The sequence below is a fragment of the Homo sapiens genome, chromosome 3, assembly GCF_000001405.40.
Source record: "Homo sapiens chromosome 3, GRCh38.p14 Primary Assembly".
NCBI lineage: Eukaryota > Metazoa > Chordata > Mammalia > Primates > Hominidae > Homo > Homo sapiens.
The window spans coordinates 108,208,129-108,232,787 of NC_000003.12; the positions used below are offsets into that span (position 1 = coordinate 108,208,129).

The window sequence follows — 24,659 nt, forward strand, 5'->3', positions numbered from 1 at the left end:
AGATTTTAGTAAAATAGGAAACAACATAAATGTAGATTCTATACACTCAAGTGACATTTACTTTTTTTAGAGTGGGGTAGTAGGACAGAAGTGCAGACAAAAGTGATCACTTTATATCTTAAAACTGAAGCAGAGGTATACACTTTTGTCAAATGGCTTAGTCTAGTCTATGTTTGCACTAGTAAGAGTCTACTTAACAACCAGAGTAAATGATTCAAATGTCAATGACTCAATGCTCATGGGAGAAGAGACAAGTTTCTAATGCTTTTACAATAACCTGATCAGTACTGTTTACATAAGCAATCAATAGATACTTCTTAAACTATACTGGACTGAACACCAATAGGTAAAAAGCTTTAATAGTAGTTACTAGAATGAATCAGCAACCAATATATGGTGCTGTTTCTCCTACAGCCAGGATTTACAGGTCCAGGAATCAAGGGGTGGAAATGGAGTGGAACCACTTGCTATTACCCCTAGTAGCCCACTAGCAAAATTCTTGCTTCCTGTTCCCATGACCTTATGCTTTGCTGGCCTAGAGGTCTTAGTTCCAAAAGGAAGAATTCTTCAACCAGAAGATACAACAATGATTTGATTGAACAGAAATTAAGACTGCTACCTGGCCACTTTGGGCTCCTCATACCTCTGAATCAACATGGCAAAGAAGGCAATTACTGTACTGGCTGGCATGATTGATCCTATTAACAGGACACTGGACTACTCCAAAATGGAAGGAAGAGTATTCTAAAATACAGGAGATCCTTTAAGGCATGGTATTACCATGCCCTGTGACTAAAAATCAACAGAAAACTACAACAACCAAATCCAGGCAGGTCTACTTAATGGCCCAGACACTTCAGGAATAAAGGTCTGAGTCACCCCACCAGGTAAAGAACTGAAACCAGCTGAGGTGCTTACTGAAGGCAAGGGGAATACAGAATAGGTAGTGAAAGATGGTAGTTATAAACACAAACTACAAGCATGTGACCAGTTACAGAAATGAGAATTGTGATTGTTATGAATATTTCCTAATTGTTATGAATATATTCGTATGTATTTTTGTTTTCTTTACTCTTATTCCCTTATCATGTAACATAGATGTACTGACTTTATATCACAGTATTTAAGTATTATTACTTTTAATATTATAATATTTAAGTGATATCAGGGAGAAGAGTAAATATCACTTATGGACTTTATCTCCTCTTGTGGAGAAGGAATTAGAGCAACATCTGTTGTATGCAGAGCAGTTACATTCTATTAGATGAAATTATAACCATGCTATGTATGGTCTTTATTTGAAGATTATGGTTTAAGAAGATGTACATGGATGGTAAGTTGACAAGGGGTCGACTTTTGATGGTAAATTTTATGTGTCAATTTGACTGAGCCACAAGGTGCCTTGGTGTTGGTTAAACATTATTCAGAGTGTGTCTATGAGGGTGTTTCTGGATGCGAAAAATAATTGAATCAGTAGACTGAGTAAAGCAGGTTGCTATCACCAATGCGGATGGGCTTTATTCAATCCACTGAAGGGCTGAATAGAACAAAAAAGCTGAGAAAGAGAATGTATTATCTTTGCCTCATTGTCACTAAAGACATTAGTCTTCTCTTGCCTTCTGACTCAGACTGAAACAAACTATCAGCTCAGCTCTCCTGGTCCTCAGGCCTTCAGACTCAAACTGGGACTACCATCAGCTCTTCTGGGTCTCCGGCTTGATAGCTGTGGATCTTGGGACTTCTCAGCCTCCAGAACCATGTAAGCCAATTCCTTAGTCTTTTTCTATATGTGTGTGTGTGTGTGTGTGTACCTCCTATTGGTTCTATTCCTCTGAAGAACTCAAACTAATTCATAGAAAAAGGATTAAGTTACTAAGTATTAAGAGAGCATTCAAGAGGAATTCAAATGTAAACAGGCTTAGAAAATTGTTTTGTAAACTATTAGAATACAATAGGATTCTAATCTCAGTAATTCAGAAGGCACTCAAAAATTTCCTACTATTTGTCTAATATGCCTTCTTAATTCTGACTGCCAATTACTATGGATATGATTACATACAATAGGCGGGAATATTTTGTGTTATGACCCCAACATATTTATAAAAATAATTATTAATGTGTCCTAACTTGATATGGGCAGTTCAAAATTAAAAGTTTCTAGTTTCTAGATGATTATAGCAGAACTTTGACTGTCAGAAATAATCTTTTTTTTTTTTTTTTTTTGAGACAGAGTCTCACTCTGTTGCCCAGGCCGGACTGCAGTGGTGCAATGTTGGCTCACTGCAACCTCCACCTCCCGGGTTCAAGCAGTTCTCTTGCCTCAGTCTCCCGAGTAGCTGGGACTACAGGCACACACCACCACGCCTGTCTAATTTTTGTATTTTTGTAGAGATGGGGTTTCACCATGTTAGCCAGGCTAATCTCAAACTCCTACCCTCAAGTGATCTGCCCACCCCAGCCTCCCAAAGTGCTGGAATTACAGGTGTAAGCCACCACACCTGGCCAACCTTTACCATCCTTGAGCAACGCCACAAACTCAGACAACAGAATCATGTTATCCCACCATCAAAAGTCTTCTTGGTGGTGACCCAGTCCTCCTTAAAGAGAGGAGTAGAAGTAAAAGAGGGCTCCTTAGAATAATATGATGACAATAAAGAAGAAAAGAAATTCAAGAGACTTGATGCAAGGGAATGAATAGCCTCAGGGCCAACCCCTTTGAGGAAGGCCTTCAGTTTGCTCTTATGATAGTAGAAGGTCTTTACCTCATGGCTGGGAAGAAATGTGTGAAGAGGCTGCTTTCCAGTATATTTCTCTAAATTCACACCCCCAATCATGGTGCCTTGAACTTTAAAGGGTTCCTAGCTTTAAAATGAGCTATAGTTTCTAAATGTTATACAACGATGTGCCGATAGTTTGATTTTATGGTCAAATATTTAATGAGTATGTACTATGCACCAGGCCCTGCACAATAAGCTGGAGACACAACAATAAGAAAAATTACACATGGTTTCTGCGCTTGCAGATATTTTCCTCCTGACTAGTGGGTTTGTTTTTTATTCCTCAGACTAGCAGTTCTTAGTTATATGCCTTTGAAGTTAAATGTTAATGTACTAGAACCAGGTATCTGTTCATAAACTATTCATAACTATTAAATAGTTATTAAGACGACAAGATGAGGGAATAAATAAGGTGAACAACTAGGAATATATGAGTACTTAATTTCTGAGCTTGAACGGAAAGATCTGTTACACAAAGAATAAAGCCTAAACTACTTTTCATGCCCAAAACAATCTGAACTTGGTCTATCTTCCCAGTTAATCTTATGCCACCCTCCCCCTCACTTAGGAGCTCTGGCCCCAGTAGTTTTCTCTAAGTTCCTTGATCATGCTAAGTTTCTTTCTGCCTTCAAAGCTTTGGCACATGCTACACAGTCAGGGCCTTGGCCACTGCCTGCTACATAACAAGTGCTCAATAAGTATATGCAGAATGAATGAATATATCTTTGTCTTGACCTTTAAAATCCATCACATTAAAAAACATCTTTTAAACTGATAAGTTTTACAATGGTCTTTTTCCTTCTGTAAATGACAGTCATCTTTTTTTACATATATTAAATAATGTTTATTTACATTGCTGTTAAAAATACATGTTGAAAACCTTAAAAATACAAAGCATAGAAAACAATCATCCATAATTCTCCTACCCATAATTAATGCTAATATATTTATTTTTAACGTATTTTACATAGTTAATGTTATATCAACATAAAATTTGGAATCATCTCAGTTAATTTTATAGCATATAGTATAAGTTACATTCCCATGTCAGTAACTTTGTATTTTTCTTTGTAAACTTTGTAAACATTTTTTGTAGAGACAGGGTCTTGCTCTGTCACCCAGGCTGTAGTGGAGTGGCATGATCACAGCTTACTGCACTTTCAAACTCTTGGGCTCAAGCGATCTTCCCACCTCAGCCTCCTGAGTAGTTAGGACTACAGGCATGCACCACCATGCCTGGCATTTTTTTCTTTTTTGGTAGAGATGAGGACTCACTATAATGCCCAGGTTGGTCTCAAATTCCTGGCCTGAAGCAATCACCATGCCTGGCATTTTTTTCTTTTTTCCTTTTGGTAGAGATGAGGACTCACTCTATTGCCCAGGTTAGTCTCAAACTCCTGGCCTGAAGCAATCCTCCCACCGCCTCCCGAAGAGCTGGGATTACAGGTATAAGCCAGCATGCCCACCCAACAATTTTCAATGGTGATATAGTTTGGATATATGTCCCCTCCTCTGTCTCTGGTCCTTCTCCCCTCCTCTGCTTCTTCTCTGGCCATGTGAGGTGCCTGCTCCCACTTTGTCTTACCATGATTGTAAGCTTCCTGAGGCCCTCACCAGAAGCAGATGCTGGTGCTACACTTCTTGTATGGTCTGCAAAACTGTGAGCCAAAATAAACTTCTTTTCTTTATAACTTACCCAGCGCCTCAAGTATTCCTTTACAGCAACACAAAATGGACTAATACAAATGGCTATATAATACTCTATTCAGATAGCATCTAATCTATTTAATAGTTATTTTTCAGCATTTGCTATTAAAATTATGCATATACTAACTTAAATACTATACTATACTAACCTCAATGCCAAACTTCAATTACTTACTTATTTTAAACTAATTATCTATTGATTTTAAAAATCACCTAAAAATTTTAATTGGTTTATGACAGCAAAATATAGTTGACCCTTGAACAACACGGGTTTGAACTGCATGGGTCCACTTAAATACAAATTTTCTTTCATTTCTGCCACCCCTGAGACAACAAGACCAACCCTTCCTCTTGCTCTTCTTCCTTAGGCTACTCAATATGAAGACAGGGAAGATACTTTTATGATTATCTACTTCCACTTAATAGTATGTATGTTTTCTCTCCCTTATGGCTTGCTTAGTAACATTTTCTTTTCTCTAGCTTACTTTTAGTGTAAGAATACAGTATATAATACATAGACAAAATATGTGTTAACTCTTTATGTTATTGGTAAGGCTTCAAGTCAACAGTAGGCTATTAGTAAAGTTTTTGGGAGTCCAGAGTTATATGTGGATATTCAACTGTGTGGGGGCCGATGCCCATAACCCCCACATTGCTCAAGGGTCAGCTGTATACTATAAAGTTTGTTTTTTCCCCCAACCATTTCTGCTTCAAATCACAAGCACACTTCCTAAAATACCAGGGTCAATCTAATTCTAGTTCTGAGAATTATCTTGAGAAAAAGTTATTTTGTCTCTGTCATCTTTAGCTGCACACTATGGATGGCATGTAAAACATGTAAAAAGTTGTAGATTCTGCCAAACAACTTAAATAATGTTGATCATTTAAAAGCATTAAAAAATTCCTACTCATCCTAATTGTAGATGAATAAAGGAATTCCTTAGAAATGAATGGTATGCGTATAAAGCAGAATTTATTAATCCTAAATTCTTTTGTTCTGTTTTAAATTCTTTATTAGTCACAGTCTATTTAACATCATGAATGGTTAATAAAGTATTTACTCATATAACTAGTGGTATATATTTCCCTGAACAGTTCAAGAACCTCTGCTAAAATTCAGACCTCAATCATTAGAGAATACAAACATTAACTTAACCAAAGGTCTAAATGATGATACTCAGCACTGTATTTAAAAGCTTTTCTTCTTTAGAAACAATGAAATAAAATATATTCCAGATAATGGAAGTCTGGGGGAAATTAAGAGAATGGGAAGTGGCCGAAAGGTGAAAATGAACAGAAAGTTCAGCTACACACATACCACAAATTCTTCATCCACTTTATTTAATGTTAATTCTGCATCATCTTCTGCAACGCTTTCTTCTTCTAATTCTTCTACTGGGTATATTGGCCTAAAATAATAAGATTAAACATGAGGTGATAATTTTAATATTTAGTAAGACAAAAAAATCATAATGCAAATATCATGTCCTCTATGCCAGGTTTTGTCCTTTTTCATTCCGCTTCCATAATCACTGTTAAATGTTTCATGTATTTTTCCTAAAACTTTCTATGTAAAAAGCAAAAGTGTTTATCTCCAAATTTATAAAAAATGAGATGATACTATGCATGGTGTTATCCAACTTAATGCTTCTCACTAATACACCATATTTAAATACATATGTATTTCTCATTATTTTTTACATACAAGCACTGTATTTCATTGAACAATCAATACCATAATTAATGTAATTGGCAGCCTATGACTGAACATAGAGGTTTCTAATTATTTTGCTGGACAATATTGCAAAGATCATCTTTGTACATTTATCATTACACATACCATTTAGAATAAATTTGTTCAAGTGAAATGGCAGGGTAAACAACTTTGTACAGTATTGTTTTGCTATATACTGCCAAAATTGGCTTCCAAAATGTTACCCTAATTTAGACTCCAAACAATACTGAAGGAGAGTAACTCCATCTCCATATATTCACCAATATGATATATAATACAAACTTTAATTTTAGCCAATCAACCAAGTGAAAAAAAATCTCATTCTTGTTTTAACTGCATTTCTTTAGCATGAAAGTGATTGAATATCTTGTCATATTTTAATTGCTTATTTGCACTTCTTTTTAGGTGAAATGTCTATTTATACCATTTACTTTTTGGCTTTTTGTATATTAAGAAAATTAATGTTTTGCCTAACCTCTCAAAAATTGTTCCCCTAGTGTATTACTTATAATCTTGGCTATTCAAGATTGTTATAGTTCTTCTTAGATAGAGTTGGTAACCTTTTCCTGCACAGACCCTAGCTTTAACATCATATATTAGAGGCTTTCTGTCATACCACAACCTCTATACTCCTCTGGTCTTTTAATACTTCTATAGTTTTACTTTTCATATTTACATCTTTGATCAATCTGAAGTTTATTTTAACATAGGTAATAAGAAGGAGTCCAGCTTTCTTCTTATTTCCAAAATCTAATTAGTGATCCTAACATTAAACTTTGAAAAAAATCATTTATTCATCAAGATTAATGACACATTTCCTATATTAAAAGTACTTAAATGTATTTGGGCTTATTTATGAAAACATATTTTTTTTCCTTTTTTTAATCCAGTAACAAAGCTAGAGAGAAAACTTGTATTAAAAACTTGTACCTGGCTGGGTGTGATGGCTCACATCTATAATCCCAGCACTTTGGGAGGCCAAGGCAGGTGGACTGTCTGAGACCAGGAGTTTGAGACCAGCCTGGGCAACATGGTGAAACCCTGTCTTGACAAAAAAAATAAAAAATTAGCTGGGAGTGGTGGTGTGCACCTGTAGTCCCAGCTATGCGGGAGGCTGAGGTGGGAGGATCGCTTGAGCCCGGCAGGCAGAGGTTCACTCCAGCCTGGGCGACAGAGTGAGACCCTGTCTTAAAAACGAAAACCCATGCCTCAATCATGTTAAAAAAATACAAAAATCAACATTTACTAATATGCAAAATACTATGAACTAAATCAATCATCTTAAATAATAAATTTCCTAATTTTTCATTAATTAGAATTCGAAAATATCTCAAAGGCAATGTTCTTCTAGGATTCATTTTGACATTTAGATATATAAAAAATTCATCTATATGTAACGTCTATCTCATTTACATGTTACAGAGCTGACATATTCTCTAATGTTGACTACTTTTCAGCTCCCTCCTTTTATTCCTCATTTAAACATAGTCCTTATAAGTTATCCAAGTCACAGTCTCTTCAATAAATGGTGCTAAAAAACAAAAAAAGAAAAATAAATAGTACTGGGGAAACTGGATATCCACATGCAAAAGAATGAAACTAGACCCTTACCTCTAACCACTTATAAAAACCAACTCAAAATGGATTAAAGACTTAAATATACAATCTGAAACTGAAACTACTAGAGGAAATGTGGAAGAAAACACTTCATGACATTGGTCTGGGCAAGAATTTTTTGGATAAGACCTCAAAAGCACAGGCAACAAAAGCAAAAATAAACAAATGCGATTACATCAAACTTAAGGAAACAATCAAAAGAGTGAAGAGACAACCCACAGAATGGGAGAAAATATTTGCAAACTACCCATCTGACAAGAACTTAACATCCAGTATGTATAAGAAATTCAAGCAACTCAATAGCAAAACAACAACAAAAAAACTAGTCTAATTTTTAAAATGAGCAAAAGATCTTAATAGACATTTCTCAAAAAATACATAGAAACGGCCAACAGATATATGCAAAAATGCTTGACATCACTAATCATCAGGGAAACGCAAATCAAAACCACGATATCATCTCACCCCAGTTAGAATGGCTATTACCCAACCCCTCGCCCCCCAAAATAACAAAGGCTGCTGAGGATATGGAGAAGGGGTAACCCTTGAACACTATTGGTAGGTATGTAAATTATTAGTACAGACACTATAGCGAACACTATGGAGGTGCCTCAAAAAACTAAAAATAGCACTACTCTATTATCCAACAATCCCACTACTGATGATATATCCAAAAGAAATGTAATCGGTATGTTAGAGATATCTGCACTCCCATGTTTATTGCAGCACTATTCACAATACTCAAGATACGGAATCTGCCTAAGTATCCATCAAAGGTTGAATAGAAAATGTGGTATATTTTCACAGTGGAATACCATTCAACCATAAAAGAGAATGCAATTCTGTCATTTGTAGCAACCTGTATAAGCATGGAGGACACTATGTCAAGTGAAATAAGCCAGGCACAGAAAGACAAATATCATAGAAGTAGAGAGTATAATAGTGGTTACCATAGGATGGGAAGGGTAGGGGGAAGGGAGAATAGGGAGAAGTTGGTCAAAGTGGGTGAGTACAAAGTTACAGTTAGGAGGAATAAGTTCTAGTGTTCAATGCACAGCAGGGTGACTACAGTTCACAATATTATATATTAATTAACAATAATATATATTTGAAAATAGCTCATAGAGATTTGGAATTTTCTTGCCACAATAAAATGATAAACGTTTGAAATGATGAATATGTTAATTTCACTAACTTGATCATTGTATATTGTACACATGTATCGAAACATCACATTGTACTCCAAAATTTGCAGTTATGTGCCAATTAAAACTAAAAAATAAATTATCCAACTTACAATACAGAGGCCAGGAATAAGATGTGTTGAGAAACAAAGGAAGTGCAAAATAGAATAGTGGTTGAGATATTACACCATAGCTTCTGGTGAATTTAGAATATATTAGTCTATTAATTTAGCAGTTTTTTAAAATGCTAAATACAGCAGCACATCTCATAACTTATCTTCTCTTGAAATTTAATAAAGTATTATGGACCATGTAGCCATTCTTTATATTGTACTAAATAATAATGTTTGGATTGAAGCATATGAAATTGCCATTTTTTAGTTTAAAAATAGATGAATATGAGTAATTTCATATGGCTCATCCCAATGATAACCTAATTCAAGGAAGTTATTAAACTTAATAGGGAGATTATATCTAAAAGAATATAATTGAATATACATTAAAATGTTATTAACAGGGAATAATATATATATATGTGTGTGTGTGTATATAATCTTTCTACCGAAGTTAGTTCTAATTAAAAAAAAAAAAACACTGCTTACTCGCATTTTACCTGAATAGTGCCTTCTACATTCTAACCTATTAGTAATCCCAAACTGCAAAGCATAAAATTTATGTTTTCTAATTATAATCTCTATAAATTGAGTTTCCAAATGTTCTATTTCATCTATATGCTCAATATCTATTAAACATCTAAGATACACCAAGCATTATGCTAACAGAGTACTTGTGAAGATTTCATGATTTCTAGCAAGAATGTCAGAATAGTAAAGAACAATTTTATACCATAGGATAAATATAATATAATAATAGAAATAAAGCACTGTCAGGTTGGACACAAAAGCAATGAACAATGTCTAGGAGAGTGTCAGGTAGTTTCTTCAGTATTATTCTTGCCCAGTAACTACTAGCAAAGGAGAAAATCCCACTTAAAGTACTGTATTAATTTCCATTTTTCCTTAAATCTGTAGCTATCAGTTCCCTCTGTGTATATACTATGTTTGTGTGTGTGAACATATGTACAAGAGACTTTAAAAAAAAAGTCCAGTATTTACAAAGATATGTAGTCACAGTTAAACCTTTAATAATTACATATTTGAACAGGAAAACGGCATAATAATATGTAACACATTACTTCAGAATTAGTTTTGAAGACGTGAGACATTCTAATTTTGTCTATACTGGCTTTTCTTAATTATCTGTGGCATTTTCAATTTAGAATAGTCAAAAAGAATAATTCTTTTATGTTCAATTGAACAGCTCTGTACCCTCAGAGGCAAATGCTATGCCCATAAAATTACTATCATCAGGGTGGGTAATTTTTACCTTTTCCAGGTGAAACCAATATATTTCAATGCTTCTTCAGCGAAGCAATCAAGAACATAGCATACATGTTCTCCATAACCTGACTTTAATTTTGAAGGAGGAAAATCTGCAGTTCTTCCCTGAAAAACAAAAGAAAAAACAGGGTATTATTTGTTAGTTATACTCCAAATGTCAAATATTTTAAGCAAAGAACTGCTGAATGGATGTATCACTTTTCTTTCAAATGATTTACAATAACTGTAATTACACTGCTTCATACAAATCCATTTCAAGTCTTTGTAACCCATTGATACATAAAAATACTCAAAGACTTTTATTGTTAAAAGTATCAAATTAAAAAGCAATAACATCATAGCAGCAGAACAAATTATTGATCTTATTAGAGTGAAAAGAAACCAGTAAAACTATTTAAACAACTATGTTTAAGGACAGAGTGATTCACTTGTCAAAAATTAATAACATTTGTGCCAAAAATATCTTACTGCCTGCCCAGGAAAAGTCAGAAATGAAAAAGTACAACTGCTGTCATGGTCTTAAGTACAAGTTCCCTTTCAGAATATGAAGTGTTTTGGCTTTGTAGGATTTTTTTTTAATTATCATTTTTTAGATCAAGAATTAACCACCCCAAAATTTACCTCTCAGATATATCAAGATTTTTTTAAAAAAATATTACTTTGGACTAATAAAGAGTATATACTGAACATTTTCAGAAGTGACATTAACATTATAATGTAAACTATTTTAAGGAGGTTTTACCTAAAAATAAATTCATATTTACAGAGGAGTCATCTAAATGGCTAGCATTTGTTATTAAATTACCAGTATTAAAATTCATAACTTGAGAACAAGGAAAAAGAAGGGTCGTTTACACTTACAAATGACCGAAGCTCGGATAGTATGTTAGATATTGTTGCATTAGGGTCATCATATTCTTGAGGCTGCTCAAAGGGACGTCCCGCTTTATTAATCAACCAAGCAGCAAGAGTACAAAACATGTAGAACTGTTCGCCAGGGTTGGTAGGCAGTGCAAAATAGTGTCTGTTTCAAAACAAGGAGGAATGGGGGCGGATGTGAAATAATGCAAATAAGTCTATAATAACTAATAGGGCCGAATTCACAATTGTCCAACAATCTTTCTTCCCCCCAAATGGCCATCAAAAGACCTCGATAATTCACCCTTTGAAGTTTCCAGTAATCCACAGCACTCACATTGAAGTTTTTAAATCAGCAGGATTAGGGCAATTACTACTGTACCCAAAATATTAGATCAAAGACCTTACACCCAGGAAATGTAGTGCATGTTAGAGCACAGAGCATGTAGAATTTTTGCCAAAATGATTTAAGTGTCAGTAATAATATGTAAGTACCTTATGAATGAAAATGGTAATCTGGAAGAACCTCAGAGTTTAAAAAAGACCTCAACGATTACTCATTATGCATTTTTACTGTTTCTAACCTATCACCTATGGTGAACATTTGTTTCTATGTTGGCTGCATATTCAATCACCTGAGGAGCTAATAAAAATACTGGTACTTGACCAAACATTGCTTCTTCCCTCATGAATGAATTAAATCAGAACTTCAGTGAAAGTAGGCCCAGTATGGGGTATATTTCAAAAGATTTCTACATGTTTATAAGGTGTAGTCAGGATTAAGAACCTGTGAATGTCACATCACCAGTCAAACATCTGTGGGCTCTTGCTTAATCCCCTAGTCTACTAAACACAGTTCTACGAGGATCAGTATGATTTATACCTAAACATTATAGGAATAAAACTCACTAGCAACAACATTCAAGTCAGTTTAATCAAAGATCTTATTTGTCTTGTTCATGTGTAGCTATCATTATTATGTTTACAATGTATTTACAACTATTATAACCATTGTCATAAAAATCTGTCGTGTACTCCTTCATGTTTCCCAAACTTTTTCCTGCAGGATAAATGTAAATGTTCTGGAAGATAACAGAAAGCTGGGAAGAAAAAAGGCCATGAAGTCCTTCCAGGTATATGCTCACTATCCTTTCAAAGCACCCACCCACCAAAAAGTCATCTTTTCCTTATCGGCAGATAACTCTTCTAGGGCAGAGGAATGAACACCAATAGATACTGTAAACCTAGGACAGTGGTTCCCAAACATTAGTGTCCATCAGAATCATCTGGAAGGCTTACTGAAACAGATGCTAGGCCCCATCCCTATAATTACTGAAAAGGTAGACCTGGGAAAGGGCCTGAGGAATTTCATTTCTAGTAAGTTCCCAGGTGATGCTGATGCTGTTGGTCTGGTGATCACATTTTGAGAACCATTGGACTAGGATATCCCCACACAAATCCATGATTCAAAGTATCCTGCTGAACCCCTGAGGACACAGTGCAAGAGATGACATCAACAGAACCTTAAGGACATTTTGTTTTCATTTTAAAAATATACTTGGAAAAAAATGCATTTTTATTAACATAGGAAATGTTGGTTGTCTATATTATCCTGATCAATTCACTTTAAGTAATAATCCCAGGACTACCTTTTCTAACATGGATCAAGCAACACTACTTTTTCCTTTATCTTTTCTCCGACCATGGACTAATTTAATATGAACAGTTTATATCAAGCCTACATATCTTTCAATTCAAGTTATTGGAAGACAGCAGTGGAATGAGATTAAAACTATCAAGGGAAATTATTTGAGCCTGGCTGTAGACATTAAGTACTATAGATTCTTAATACTGATTGCCTTTTATGGAATAAAATATACAAATGTAAGTATTAAAGTGAAAGAAAAGCTATAAAACTGATTTATCTGGCTACTGCTAAGCTACAGTGATTTGAGGAGAAGGTCCTAGCTGACCACTACCCTCAGCAAGTAATGGCATTGCTTTCAGGATATGTTGGACTTTTCCCCCACCGGAACAAGGGTAAAACTTTAGGTTCTATGATAGGGGGACAATTCAATAGTTGTCATTCGTCTTTTCCACTTTTCAGTTTCTGAGAGTATGGTTATTACAAAGGCAGAAGTCTTTTAAACCATAGCAAGTAGTTAACAAGTTTACTAACCGCATTTAAAGTGCTCCTTAACAGGATCCTAAGTACCCACGGTCCCCAGTTGTATGAACAGGGTCTTAAACAACAACAAAAAACCCCAAACTAGAAAAAAAGCCTTAAGTGATAATGGCATTCCTCTCTGGAGGCGAATTTTGGACGGTCTTATAATTTTTCTAGACATTTACTTGTGTTTTTCTGAGTTTTCTTCAATGAGTATTTGTTTCATCTTTACAATCAGAAAATATAGTTTGTGTTTTCTGGTAATGCGTGTGTGTTGGAAAAAAACAGGCAAGCTGTCTTCCGATCCTTTCTGCCGTTCCAAAACTTATTTATTCTCTCTACAAAAATACCAAGTCAGGGCTGCGTGAGCTCCACGGACCTCCCGGGAGTTTGGGGTGAAGTGCCCTTCCCTGGCTAGGAAGACGGAGGCAAGGAATTGCTAACCCGCTCTCACGAAACTGGTTCCCAGCAGGACCAAGGAGGGCATCTCCCTGGGGGCTAGCAGGCACCCGGGCGCTCGGGGACGCCGGCACCCACCTGGACGGGGCCTTCAGGTTGCTCTTCCGGAGGAACTCCTCCTCGTAGCGGAGCAGCTTCAGCTTCTCCACCAAGTCCTCCATCACCACGAACATGTGGTAGGCCGCGCCGGGCCCCCGCTCCAAGACCACTTCCCCGGTCCCTTCGCCACGGGACCTAGGCACCCCATCTTCCAAACCCGACGTCGTGACGACGGCCAGAGCAGCAGTCATCGCAGAACGGACAGAGTCCAGCGTGGGCTCAGGCCCACAGACCTCTGCGGCCTAAGCCGCCAGCCCTGCCGCCGCCAGTACAGCCACGACCGGTTACCAGGCGACCACCGGACAATCCGTCACCAGGGAAACTAGACTCCGCCTCCTTCCCTCCAATCAGGGCGGCTTTCCTGAATGACGTCACCTGTGGCCCTCTTCTTGCCCTGCCTCTGTGGAAATGGTGGTCGGGAAGCAGCCCCGCCCCTCATGGAGGCGTGGCGTTCGCGCCCCACTGCCGGCTGCGTCTTCTCCCTCGCTGAAAGTCTGAAGGGAGCCGGCTTACGTTTCTGCTCCGCTTGCCTAGTGAGTCTTGAGCTGGCTTGAGGTGTGTTGGACCTGGTGGTTGCTAAAAGCAATTAAGCGGGCATCTGGGTCAGCTAGTAGCTGTTAAAAAGATTAAAGGGAGGTGAAGACGTGTAGCACTGAAGGCTGCACTGGCTCACTGATACCTTTATTTTCTCAGAATTGAAAAGTTTTTCATAGTTGTAAAGATAGTCAATACCATAGGTTTCACTTTTACTGCAGGAACTTTCCAACGAGAGGTTTCTCTCGTTCTTTCTTTAATTTTATCTTTCTCTCACTAGGCAATGCTGCACTTAACAGTATATTGTAAAGCTTGAAGTACTGTATTACGTTGCCTGGCTGTTACTCCAGTGCTAGGAAAGTGGTTGGAAGGATGAGGAAGACAATGAACAAAAGGAGGCATTTGGAAGGATTTGTTTTACTTCAAAAACAAGAATACTAAGCTTCCATCCTGCTGCTTAATCTGTTTCAAACCCATTACATGTAGTATAAAGTGTTTGGGTACTTCGTTAAATCCAACAGAATAGAGATGGTCTTAAAAGGAATTTCCCTGCCCTAAAGCTCTAAGGGTGGCTAAAGATAGGGTGTTACTACTGTATTCTGCAGTTATTGACCTAGAAAATTTAAGAAAAGGTACATAACTGACCACAGAAATGGCCCAGCTTTACAGTTTTCAAAAGGCTTCTGTATTAGGCAATTTTCTTAACAGTTGCAAAAAATGAGGTAAGTGGTGGATGCCTGGCAGTTTTTGGGAAGAAAACTTAGTACAAGAGATTGAACATATGTTCATGTTTATAACGTGACTTTTAAGGGCTCTCTGATCTCTTGTATCTGCCACTACAAAATATAGAAGGGCTACATTTTTGGACAACTGAAATTTGAAATGTATCTACAATATCCTGTTTTTATTAGAAAAAATGAGAACACTTTTCATTGTAATCCGTCTACAGCTAACTTGTTTCTGATACTAATAAGGTTATCAAAGTGAAAAGTCAGAAGGGCAAATACCATTTTTTCATTAAAGAAAGGAAGTACATAAAATTACAGACTTATGTAGAGAATAACCTGAAGGGCAGCCCACTGAGAATTGCTTTTTAAATAAATAACATTGCTTGCCTACCACAAGTCATGAGCCAGCTGCTTTTAATAAAGTTGAGTGAGAAAATTGGATTTGATGTTACCCCACTACCAAATTGATCTTTCCTGGTCTTTGCCTTTTTGAAACAGTGATTCTCCCCGATAAGTCCATACCCCAACCACCACCACATGTGCAGCTTGGGGGTGTTATATGTATGTATAACAGTCACAGTAGTGTAAGATAGATGTATGGCTTTATAAGACTGAAAAATGAAAGCTTAGATATGTTTTGGGGTCCTAAGTTAACTAACAAGCAAACTGGGGCTTTTTACATGACTCTGAAAAAGCTCTCAGACTTTGGAAGTAAATTTATTACACTCAGGGAGGGAGATGTTCCTGCCAGGCATGCTGCCTACTTAAGATGTTCTGACATTTTCAGGAAGTTACGTAACACAGTATGAAATAGTCAAACGTTGCTTTTTAGCTGATAAATCCTCCAGCAACGTATGTATTTTAACTTGGGGGAAACAAAACGACTCCCAGGGTCTTAGCCATTTCCTTCCCAGGTAAAATACTGACACAGCCTGGCCTGAAAGCAGTATACAGAATAATTTCCCCCCTTAATTGTGAAGAAGAAAAAAACCCAAAAATATAAAGTATTTCCAGTAATTGTGGCACAAAGAGAACAAAAAAGCTAACTGTTCAATACTGCATGTTTCCCCAATAAAAAGTTTTAGAAAGAACACTGAAATTTCATTGTTTTGTAAAGCCCAGGGATTATTTTTGCTGATTCCTTGTTTACCTGTAATAGTTTGTAACACATCAAAAGATCTTTTCCTTGATAGTTTTCTTCGTGTGTGTGAAAATGCACTCAAATCCTCTTCTAGCTGTTTCAGCCACTTGGAAACTTTGGGGAATACAGTTGTATCAGGTTTTTTTTTGTTGTTTTGGTTTGCAGGACTAGTTTATTTGTTGACTAAGGAGTTAGAGCTTGAAGAGAATGAGCCATGTTCATTCTTCCTGTAAAATCTCAATTTCATCCCTGGTTTTACTGTATTCGCCACTATTAATAGCTGGCCTTCTGACTTTGACTTTTATTTCTTTCAAACTATCTGTGAGGTAATTGAAAGTAACTTTTTTTTTTTTTTTTTTTGAGACGGAGTCTTGCCCTGTCACCAGGCTGGAGTGTAATGGCACGATATTGGCTCACTGCAACCTCCGCCTCCTGGATTTAAGCGGTTCCCCTGCCTCAGCTTTTTAAAACTCGTGGATCTTTCTGTGAAACTCTGAAAACTAAATAGCATTCCAGGCCGGGCACGGTAGCTCATGCCTGTAATCCCAGCACTTTGGGAGGCTGAGGCAGGCGGATCATTTGAGGTCAGGAGTTCGAAACCAGCCTGGCCAACATGGTGAAACCCCCGTCTCTACTAAAAATACAAAAATTAGCCAGGCGTGGTGATGGGCGCCTGTAATCCCAGCTACTCAGGAGACTGAGGCAGGAGAATTGCTTGAACCCAGGAGGCAGAGGTTGCAGTGAGCAGAGATGGTGCCACTGCACTCCAGCCTGGGCAACAGAATGAGACTTTGTCTCAAAAAAAAAAAAGTATCCCAGTCAAAGCCAATTTAAGCTCAATGGATTTCCCTGAAAGGTGCTTAGCAAGGCTGGGGGTGAAAAGGAGGCAGATTCTAGAATGGAGGAAGGCTTTCCAGCTGCACCTTCAAATAGAAGAGCAAATCCTTCAGGCAAACTGGGTAGGCTTAAAGAACAAAGCTGTGCTGTGTTATAAATGGCTTAGTACCACCCATTTGGGTTGTTAAAAACTTAGAAAATCGCTAACTGAATAAATCTTCCTTGAAACTATAGAGAAGGAAAAACTTTTTCTGCCCTCTTTGGTTCAATAGCTGGGCCTGTGAATTAAATGAACATAAGACAAGTAAACAGGAAAAAAGCACACAAATTTTATTTAATATTTTTACATGCACATGGGAGCATTCAAAAGAAAAATGAAGCGGATAGGACCAACAGCTTATATGCCTTTTTTTTTTTTAAAGAAAACAAAGAATGATACATTTGTAGGGAAGTGACAAGACAAAGGAAAAGGGATTTAAGGTTGACAAACTGTAGACAAGTGACTAGGAAAAATATGGGTAAAATTAGTGGAAGATAAAGATTATTTTAATAGGTTTGTTTCTGCAGACCCATTTTAGCATTAATTTCCAGGCTCCCATCATAAAAATGTTATTTCCTGGTACAGGGATGGCTTCTTTCTCATGGGAAATTTTATGACTTGCTTTTAAGTAGGAAGGGGAAGGTCAGAGAGCCCTTCATATATCTGCTGTATCGCAGGTGCCTTCATATCACAATAATCAGTATGCAACAGCAGCATATTTTGGGGTGGCATGTTCTAAGCCCCATTCAACCTCATCAAAAGTGTCTGCCAAAAATCTAGAAGGAAAAAAATCATATTTATATGTAAATCTTTAAAAGCGGTGCCTCGTAAAGCAATTTACATTACCTCTTCAAAACTGCCCTATAGACCAGAACCAGTGCACTCAGACAAAAAGATAGGAGTAACTATTGCAGTTGCTGTGATTAATTAAAATATCCAAGAGAATCTACAGACATGCTATTAAGATAGCTCAGCAAGTTTGCCATATATGAGGTCCAAACTAAAAAGAGTTATTGGATGCATAGTATTCTATTGACTATTTTGAATTAAAAGCACTTAAAACCCCAAAAGTTACTGGAGATGATAGTTAGAAAAACAAACCTCATAATAAGCAACACACAGCACCCAGGAACAAACCTATCATTATCTTTATAGAGAGATTGTTAAACTTTACTGAAAGTTTTGGAAAAATTCAAATAGGAATACAATGTTTATAATGAGAAAAGTCAGCATATTTGCCCAATCTATAAATTTAGCATAATTTCAACTATAATTCCAGGAGGGCTATTCTGAAATTCATATGTAAGCATAAATTTTAAAGAAGTCTGAGGTAGGAATTACAATATATCAGATAGCAAGATTCCTAATAAAAGTATAAATTAATGATATTATCAGAATATATACAAAATAGCCTGAAAGCAGATGAGCATTCATATGGAAACTTAGTTTGCGGCAGAATCAGTGTTACCTCCTAGTGGAGAAAAATGAGCTATTCGCAAAATGCTATTAAAACTATGGGCTATCCATATGGAAATAAAATTACATCTATGATTTCCATCACATAAATTTCAGATGGATTGAAGACAAATGTAAAATATTTGTAATGTGTAGAAGAAAGCAGTATCTTTAACCTCAATGTAGGGAAGGAGTTCGTAAAAGACTTAAAAAGAGAAACTTATAAAAATTTAAGAACCCAGATACAAAATAGGGCTTTATAAACAGTGAATAAAGAAGATACTTGTGAGCCCTGTAATATCAATGGATTAATCTCCAGGATACACAAGTAGGTCACTGCAAAGCCTCTGCCATTCTAGAGGATTGTAGGTGGGTTCGTTTAGGTTGGAGTTTCTCATTCTAAGCACTATTGCCATTTCAGGCTGGATCATTGTTGGAGGACTGTGCGTGCATTGCAGGATGTTTAGCAACATCCTTGGCCTCTACCCACTAGTTGCCAGTAGCACCACCCCTAATGGTAACAACGAAAAATGTCTCTGGACATTGCCAAATGGCCTCTGGTCGGGGGTGGGGGTGGGTGGCGGGGGGCGGGGGTGGGAGGGCAAATCACCCTGATTGAGAACCACTGCTCTAAATTCATGAATGGAAATTGCAAATGCCTTTATAAGGACCAGGCACGTAAAGGTAAATGAGTGACATGTGTGTGAGAGACTTATGGGGACCCTGAAAATTCATGCACCATCTCAAGGAGGGGGCATTTTTGTCAGGCAAGAGTGCAGCCCAACTTTGCAATGTGTTCTGATTTTGCAAGGATCTGAAGCTAGATTTGTATGTCAGTGTGAGATCCTAATGCTCTTGAGGGTGACCTTTTTGCACAGAAAATATTTCATGGGCCACTTTAGTTGTTAAAGATATTTATTAATACATTAAAGTTCAAAATGTAGAGGCCTTGTTCTGAACTTTTTAGTTTGACATTCAAATCTTGTTCAATTTATAAATGTAGTAAATTTGTTACAGCTATTTAAGGGGGTGGGGGGTGGTTTACAATTTAAATTCCTGTAGAGGTTTTACTTGTTTATAAACTCATTATATTCTCTTTAATGGCTGACAAACCATTCCAGATACTGATAAATTCCCTAAATCTAAAAGTAAAAGAAAAAGAGGTGGTGGAGGGGCGTAGTAGTGGCGGGGTGGGTAATGCAGTGGATAAGCTCTATTAAGTATTCCAATCCTGTTTGTAAACATAGCTTTCAATGTAAAACCAAAAGTCAAAGTTATTCAATTACATGTTATAAACTGGAGTCACAAGTCAGCCTGTTTCTTTAATAGGCCAAAATTTCAACCTTTAGATACTTAAATATCAAATATGCACAGATCATTCTTCAACAGAATTATCACTGCTATGGGCTTACTTTCATCATTGCTGTACTTCATGTCAAAACATTCCAGGATTAAAATATATTCAGCCTGGGAAAGAATTATCCCAGTCTAAGACTAAGAAGTTTCCCCATCCAATGGATTAATACTGCGAGATTCCTGAGCCAAGCATAGAAGGAATTCTTGTCTAAACTGCAATTACTTTTGCACTGACCTAATAGTTAACTGCTTCAGCTGACTTTTGCTCTCAAGGTAGATAAATGCCATCCAATTATATTGTACATATTACAAGGCTTTGTTTGGCTCCATGGTGTCATTTTCTTCAGGGAGAAACAAAATGTATGTATGAAGTGACTTCAGGTTACTATCCCTGGGTAAGTGATGTGTATGATTATTTAAGGGTTTCAAGTAGGTGTGTGCTGGTGGGGGCTGGAGTAGATGACATTCGAATTTGCATTTTAGAGTTCTGGCAATAATATAGAGAAGGGACTACAGAAAGGTGAAAATTGATTCAGAAGGTGATTTGAATAGTTCAATGAGAGATTGTCCTAAACTAGGATGAGTGGCAATTACAATAGTGAAAATATGATAGTTAACAGACTTTAGGAAGCAGATTCAACAGAACTTAGTAACCGACACCATGAGATATTCTCTAAGGCATGAAAGGCACTATGAAGTTGGCCCACTTTGGGGTAAGAAAGGTAGTCTTTATACCACTGTATCACTGGAAACTGTGAGCTTCCCTAGACATCTGTGGTTGGGGTGGCTCTTATTGGCCAAAGGTAATTTTCTGGAAAAAGATGCAGCTGTGAACACTGAACAGCCAATATTCATAGCAGCTGGAGAGTGAGTACAGCAGCCTGATGAAAGAGGAATCTGGGCAGGCACCAGCAGCTTTGGCTACAGTAGTTGACGTTAAAATACGGTTCTTCTGAATTTCTTTATGTGGAATATGTACTGAAGTAGTGTAACTTAGATAAAAAAAAAATAAGGTTGCTAAAGGTACAAACCATACAAACTGTCAGATAGGAAAAATAGCATATAAGTAACTGCAAATATTGAAACATTCAGCCTAGTTTCCTGATAAGAGTTCTATTGCATCATGTATATTAGTAACACTTTGATTTGATACATTTTGGGTACTAACAAGAAGGATTGATGTGATCTGTCAGAGTTTTGAAGGTTAAATAGAAATTGGTTTATTCTTCAAGGGCTAGATTTAAAAGATTCAATTTATTTTACAGTCTGGCACAACATTCTTCCCCTAAGGAAAAATTAGATTTAAGACAGAGAGTAGTGTTAAAAATAAATGTCATAGGAGAAAGCTCTCTTAATAGGGCTCCCTAGAGCCTAACGAAAGCAGAATCTGCTAGATGCTACCTCCTGTGTAATTATCATACTTTCATGGTACAACTCTGAATCTGAATGCACAGTATGCCAGACTTTCTGATGGCCTGTTTCACAGATAGTTATTGGCGCCTTATCTTGAGGTTTTGGAAACGGTTGCCCAAACCATTACACGGTAATAAAATGTTAAGTCCAAATGCCTTATTTTTATTCGTAGCTCCTTCCTATTTGTGGAGACGAATTCCTACTCCACACCTGTACATTTTGCTTCTGAAGAGAAAAAGTAATCCATTTTGCATTTGCATCTAGTAAGATTTTAATGAGAGATTCTTTTCTTTCTGAAGGTAAGAGTGTGAAAAACCAAACTAATAGATCCAGGGATCAGATTTTGGCTTTTTGGCAACTACAGAGAGAGGGAGAAAGTATTTTCTAAGATTTATGTATTTATGTATTTATTTTGGTACAACAAACACTTTAGCACATATAATATGTTAGGCACTGGGTTTTGGATGGTAATGCAAAGACTCATGGGCCTGGTGTCTATGCCCAAATAGCTCATGCTTTAATGCAGAGACACATGTACTTGGCAACTGAAACATAGTATGTTAGAGAAGTAGAGAGTGTTTGGGATGAAAGCTTTCCAGACATTTATTTAACCCCTCCAAAAAACAGAATTGATTTCTTCCCCTCTGTACCCCCATAGCCTATGGTACTTCCTCTCTCTGGAGTCTCATTTTTATCCTGTGCATGGAAGGATCAGGAAGAATTAGGCAAGGGAAATTAGTAGAAGAAGCAATATATTTGAAGTAGGTATCCTGCCTTGAGAGGCAAACTTCAGAGCAAAGTGATGGTTCCTTTCTTTTGTGTCTAATATGGAGGCTGGTGCTGTTTACCATTTTGCCTAGGTGTACAGGGGTATAAGCTGACTCTCTTTGGCTAAGAACTTCAGTAAGGGGTCTGCCAGATATAGTCATGTATTTCCAGGATCTAGAAGCAACATGTCTATCCAGTAAGAATTCGAATTGGAACGTGTTTAATTTCATTCCAAAGAACTCACCCCAAAAAAGTCCTAAATCAAAGGCATAAACTAAAATATTTTTAGTGACTTCCTAACAACTTATAATTTTTACTAGATCTTTTGCTTGATCTACATGCCCAGTGTATACTTTTTCTTTTAATTGTTACTACAGACTTCAGAGGAATACTATAAGCTCTGTAAAAGCCTTTTCTTCCTTCTACCCAGTACCACAAGGCAGAGCATGGATTTATAATAGCAACTTTCTGAGGAAGAGTAGACAATTGAATGTAGACTTTATGGTTATCTAAGCCTCAAGAAAGAAGGGGAGATCCTCCCCATAGTTTAACCATAAAGTAGAAGTCAATAATGATTTTCCTTTTACCTCATAGAGTTGTGCAAAAATGGCTGACCATCTACCAGCTCATTCTTTCTCTATTAATGTGAAATGTTTATGCTTATGCTATGGTGTTAATATGTGACCCCTCCAAAAGTCATTTTGAAATTTAATTTCCATTGTAATGGTATTAAGAGGTAAGACCTTTAAGAGGTGATTAGGCTGCACGAGGCTTCATCTTCATGGGTGGGATTGGTGTTGCTATAAAAGGATGGGTTCAGCCCTCTCTTGCTCTATCTCTCCATTTCATTTTTTGCCATGTGAGGACACAGCAAGAAGGTCCGTGCTAGATGCCAGCACCTTGATATTGGATTTCCTAGCCTCCAGAACTCTGAGCTAATAAATTTCTGTTTATTATAAATTACTCAGTCTCAGGTATTCTTTTAGAGCAGCACAAAATGAACTAAGACAGCTCATGTGGTCCATTTCTAGACTTCAAACTTCAAACTGACTTCAGTAGATATTTTTGCTTATTTTTATGCTGTCTAAAACTGTTTTTGTGGCTTTAGAGTAAGATTTGCTCTTTGGTAGAACAACCCACCTTTTCCTTTCTCTCAGTCTTCTTGATTACTGTACATTTATTTTTTAAGATGAACTATAAATGTATTTAATCTTGAAATATATACTCTAAATATACTTTTAATAGATAATATTGAGCATATCATCCAGGGATACAGTGTGTACTATCTGAGTCTCTTATTGGGCTAAGAAGGTCACAGAAGAACTCATTTTTTTTATTATTACATTGACATTTTATTTTAAAACAAACACTTGCTATTTTCCTTATGCTAGTAAGTTAGCACTGTAGAGTATGAAAATTTCATATTTTACTTTCTGAAGGCAAGAACAGACTATTACACTGTGAAAGATTTTAATCTCCTCAGCTTCTTGAAGGAAGAATAATACTTCTGAAATGGGAAGAGGGAGCTTTTATAAGTAAAATTAGAAATGCCTCAGAGGATCTTGCTCTTTCAAAGGAAACACCAACTTTTTTTATAAAATAAAAAGCAAAAGATCTTTATTCTTGCTTGGAATACAATGACGGCTTCCTTATAGTTTTCCCTCCAGATCTACCCCTCTTTCAGTCTTTTGTCTACATTGTTCCCAAAGTAATCTTCCTGAAATGCAAATATGGACATGCCTCTGTACTACCCGACATTCTTACATGGTTCCCCTATTCAGGACAATATTCAGTTTTCTTAGCTTGCTGTGTAAACGCCAGGGACAGATTCAGGCTTTGTGGGGCTTGAAGCTTATACAGTTGGTAGGGGTGGGGGTGAGGGAGGCATAATTTTTAATAAAAAATACCAAATTTTGAATTTGAAATCAGCTACAGTACTTTGGAAGGGAGCATGCAAGTAAAGCTCCCTGGAACATAAACTGCGCTACTCTCTTGGTACATCTGCCTCTACTGGGGAATTGTTTTATCATCTGAAATGAGGTGAGGTTACCAGATCAATAAATAATGACCAAGATAGGCTGGGCATGGTACCTCATGCCTATAATCCCAGTATTTTGGGAGGCTGAGGCAGGAGGATTTCTTGAGCTAAGGAGTTCAAGACCAGCCTGGGCAACAACCAGTTAAGACCAACCAACTCTGTCTTAAATAAATAAATAACAACCAAGGTAAAGTAACTATCCAACAAGCTGACATTGCTTATAGCCCAGAGATCTCTGACTAGAATTCAAGAGTTAAGGTGGCTGCATATAGCCAGGATGGTGCTTCCTATCAAGAAACAGACTTGCTGACCCTTTATTATAGTCATCATTAAAAGGAGAATATTA

At 36.8% G+C, this 24,659-nt stretch overlaps 1 protein-coding gene and 1 long non-coding RNA gene across 2 annotated transcripts in view, besides 4 other annotated features; one reads left to right on the forward strand and one right to left on the reverse strand.

Annotated features, from left to right (window-relative positions):
* The window catches only part of IFT57 (intraflagellar transport 57), a 61,613-nt gene extending 47,317 nt beyond the window's left edge, over positions 1–14,296 (reverse strand). Inside the window, exons 1-4 of the mRNA NM_018010.4 lie at positions 13,983–14,296; positions 11,282–11,444; positions 10,407–10,525; positions 5,803–5,893 (exon numbers count right to left, since the gene is read on the reverse strand). Coding sequence (NP_060480.1) covers positions 5,803–5,893; positions 10,407–10,525; positions 11,282–11,444; positions 13,983–14,194 — 585 coding nt within the window. The 5' untranslated portion in view covers positions 14,195–14,296. The remainder of the gene's footprint in view (positions 1–5,802; positions 5,894–10,406; positions 10,526–11,281; positions 11,445–13,982) is intronic.
* Positions 687–756: an enhancer, noted in NCBI's record as "active region_20216". NCBI's record gives its function as "activates an Ori minimal core promoter by ATAC-STARR-seq in GM12878 lymphoblastoid cells {active_cell/tissue: GM12878}" and the evidence as "EXISTENCE:reporter gene assay evidence [ECO:0000049][PMID:35858748]".
* Positions 14,015–14,274: an enhancer, noted in NCBI's record as "active region_20217". NCBI's record gives its function as "activates an Ori minimal core promoter by ATAC-STARR-seq in GM12878 lymphoblastoid cells {active_cell/tissue: GM12878}" and the evidence as "EXISTENCE:reporter gene assay evidence [ECO:0000049][PMID:35858748]".
* Positions 14,015–14,503: a biological region, named in NCBI's record as "ReSE screen-validated silencer GRCh37_chr3:107941185-107941478".
* Positions 14,210–14,503: a silencer, noted in NCBI's record as "fragment chr3:107941185-107941478 (GRCh37/hg19 assembly coordinates)". NCBI's record gives its function as "represses an EF-1alpha promoter that drives an FKBP-Casp9 reporter gene in an ReSE screen in HepG2 liver carcinoma cells {active_cell/tissue: HepG2}" and the evidence as "EXISTENCE:reporter gene assay evidence [ECO:0000049][PMID:32094911]".
* On the forward strand, positions 14,477–16,356 carry LOC124909405 (uncharacterized). Its single transcript, XR_007095999.1, has 2 exons — positions 14,477–14,558; positions 14,818–16,356. It is a non-coding gene; the product is annotated as an uncharacterized LOC124909405 (long non-coding RNA).
* Positions 16,357–24,659: the final 8,303 nt, after the last annotated feature.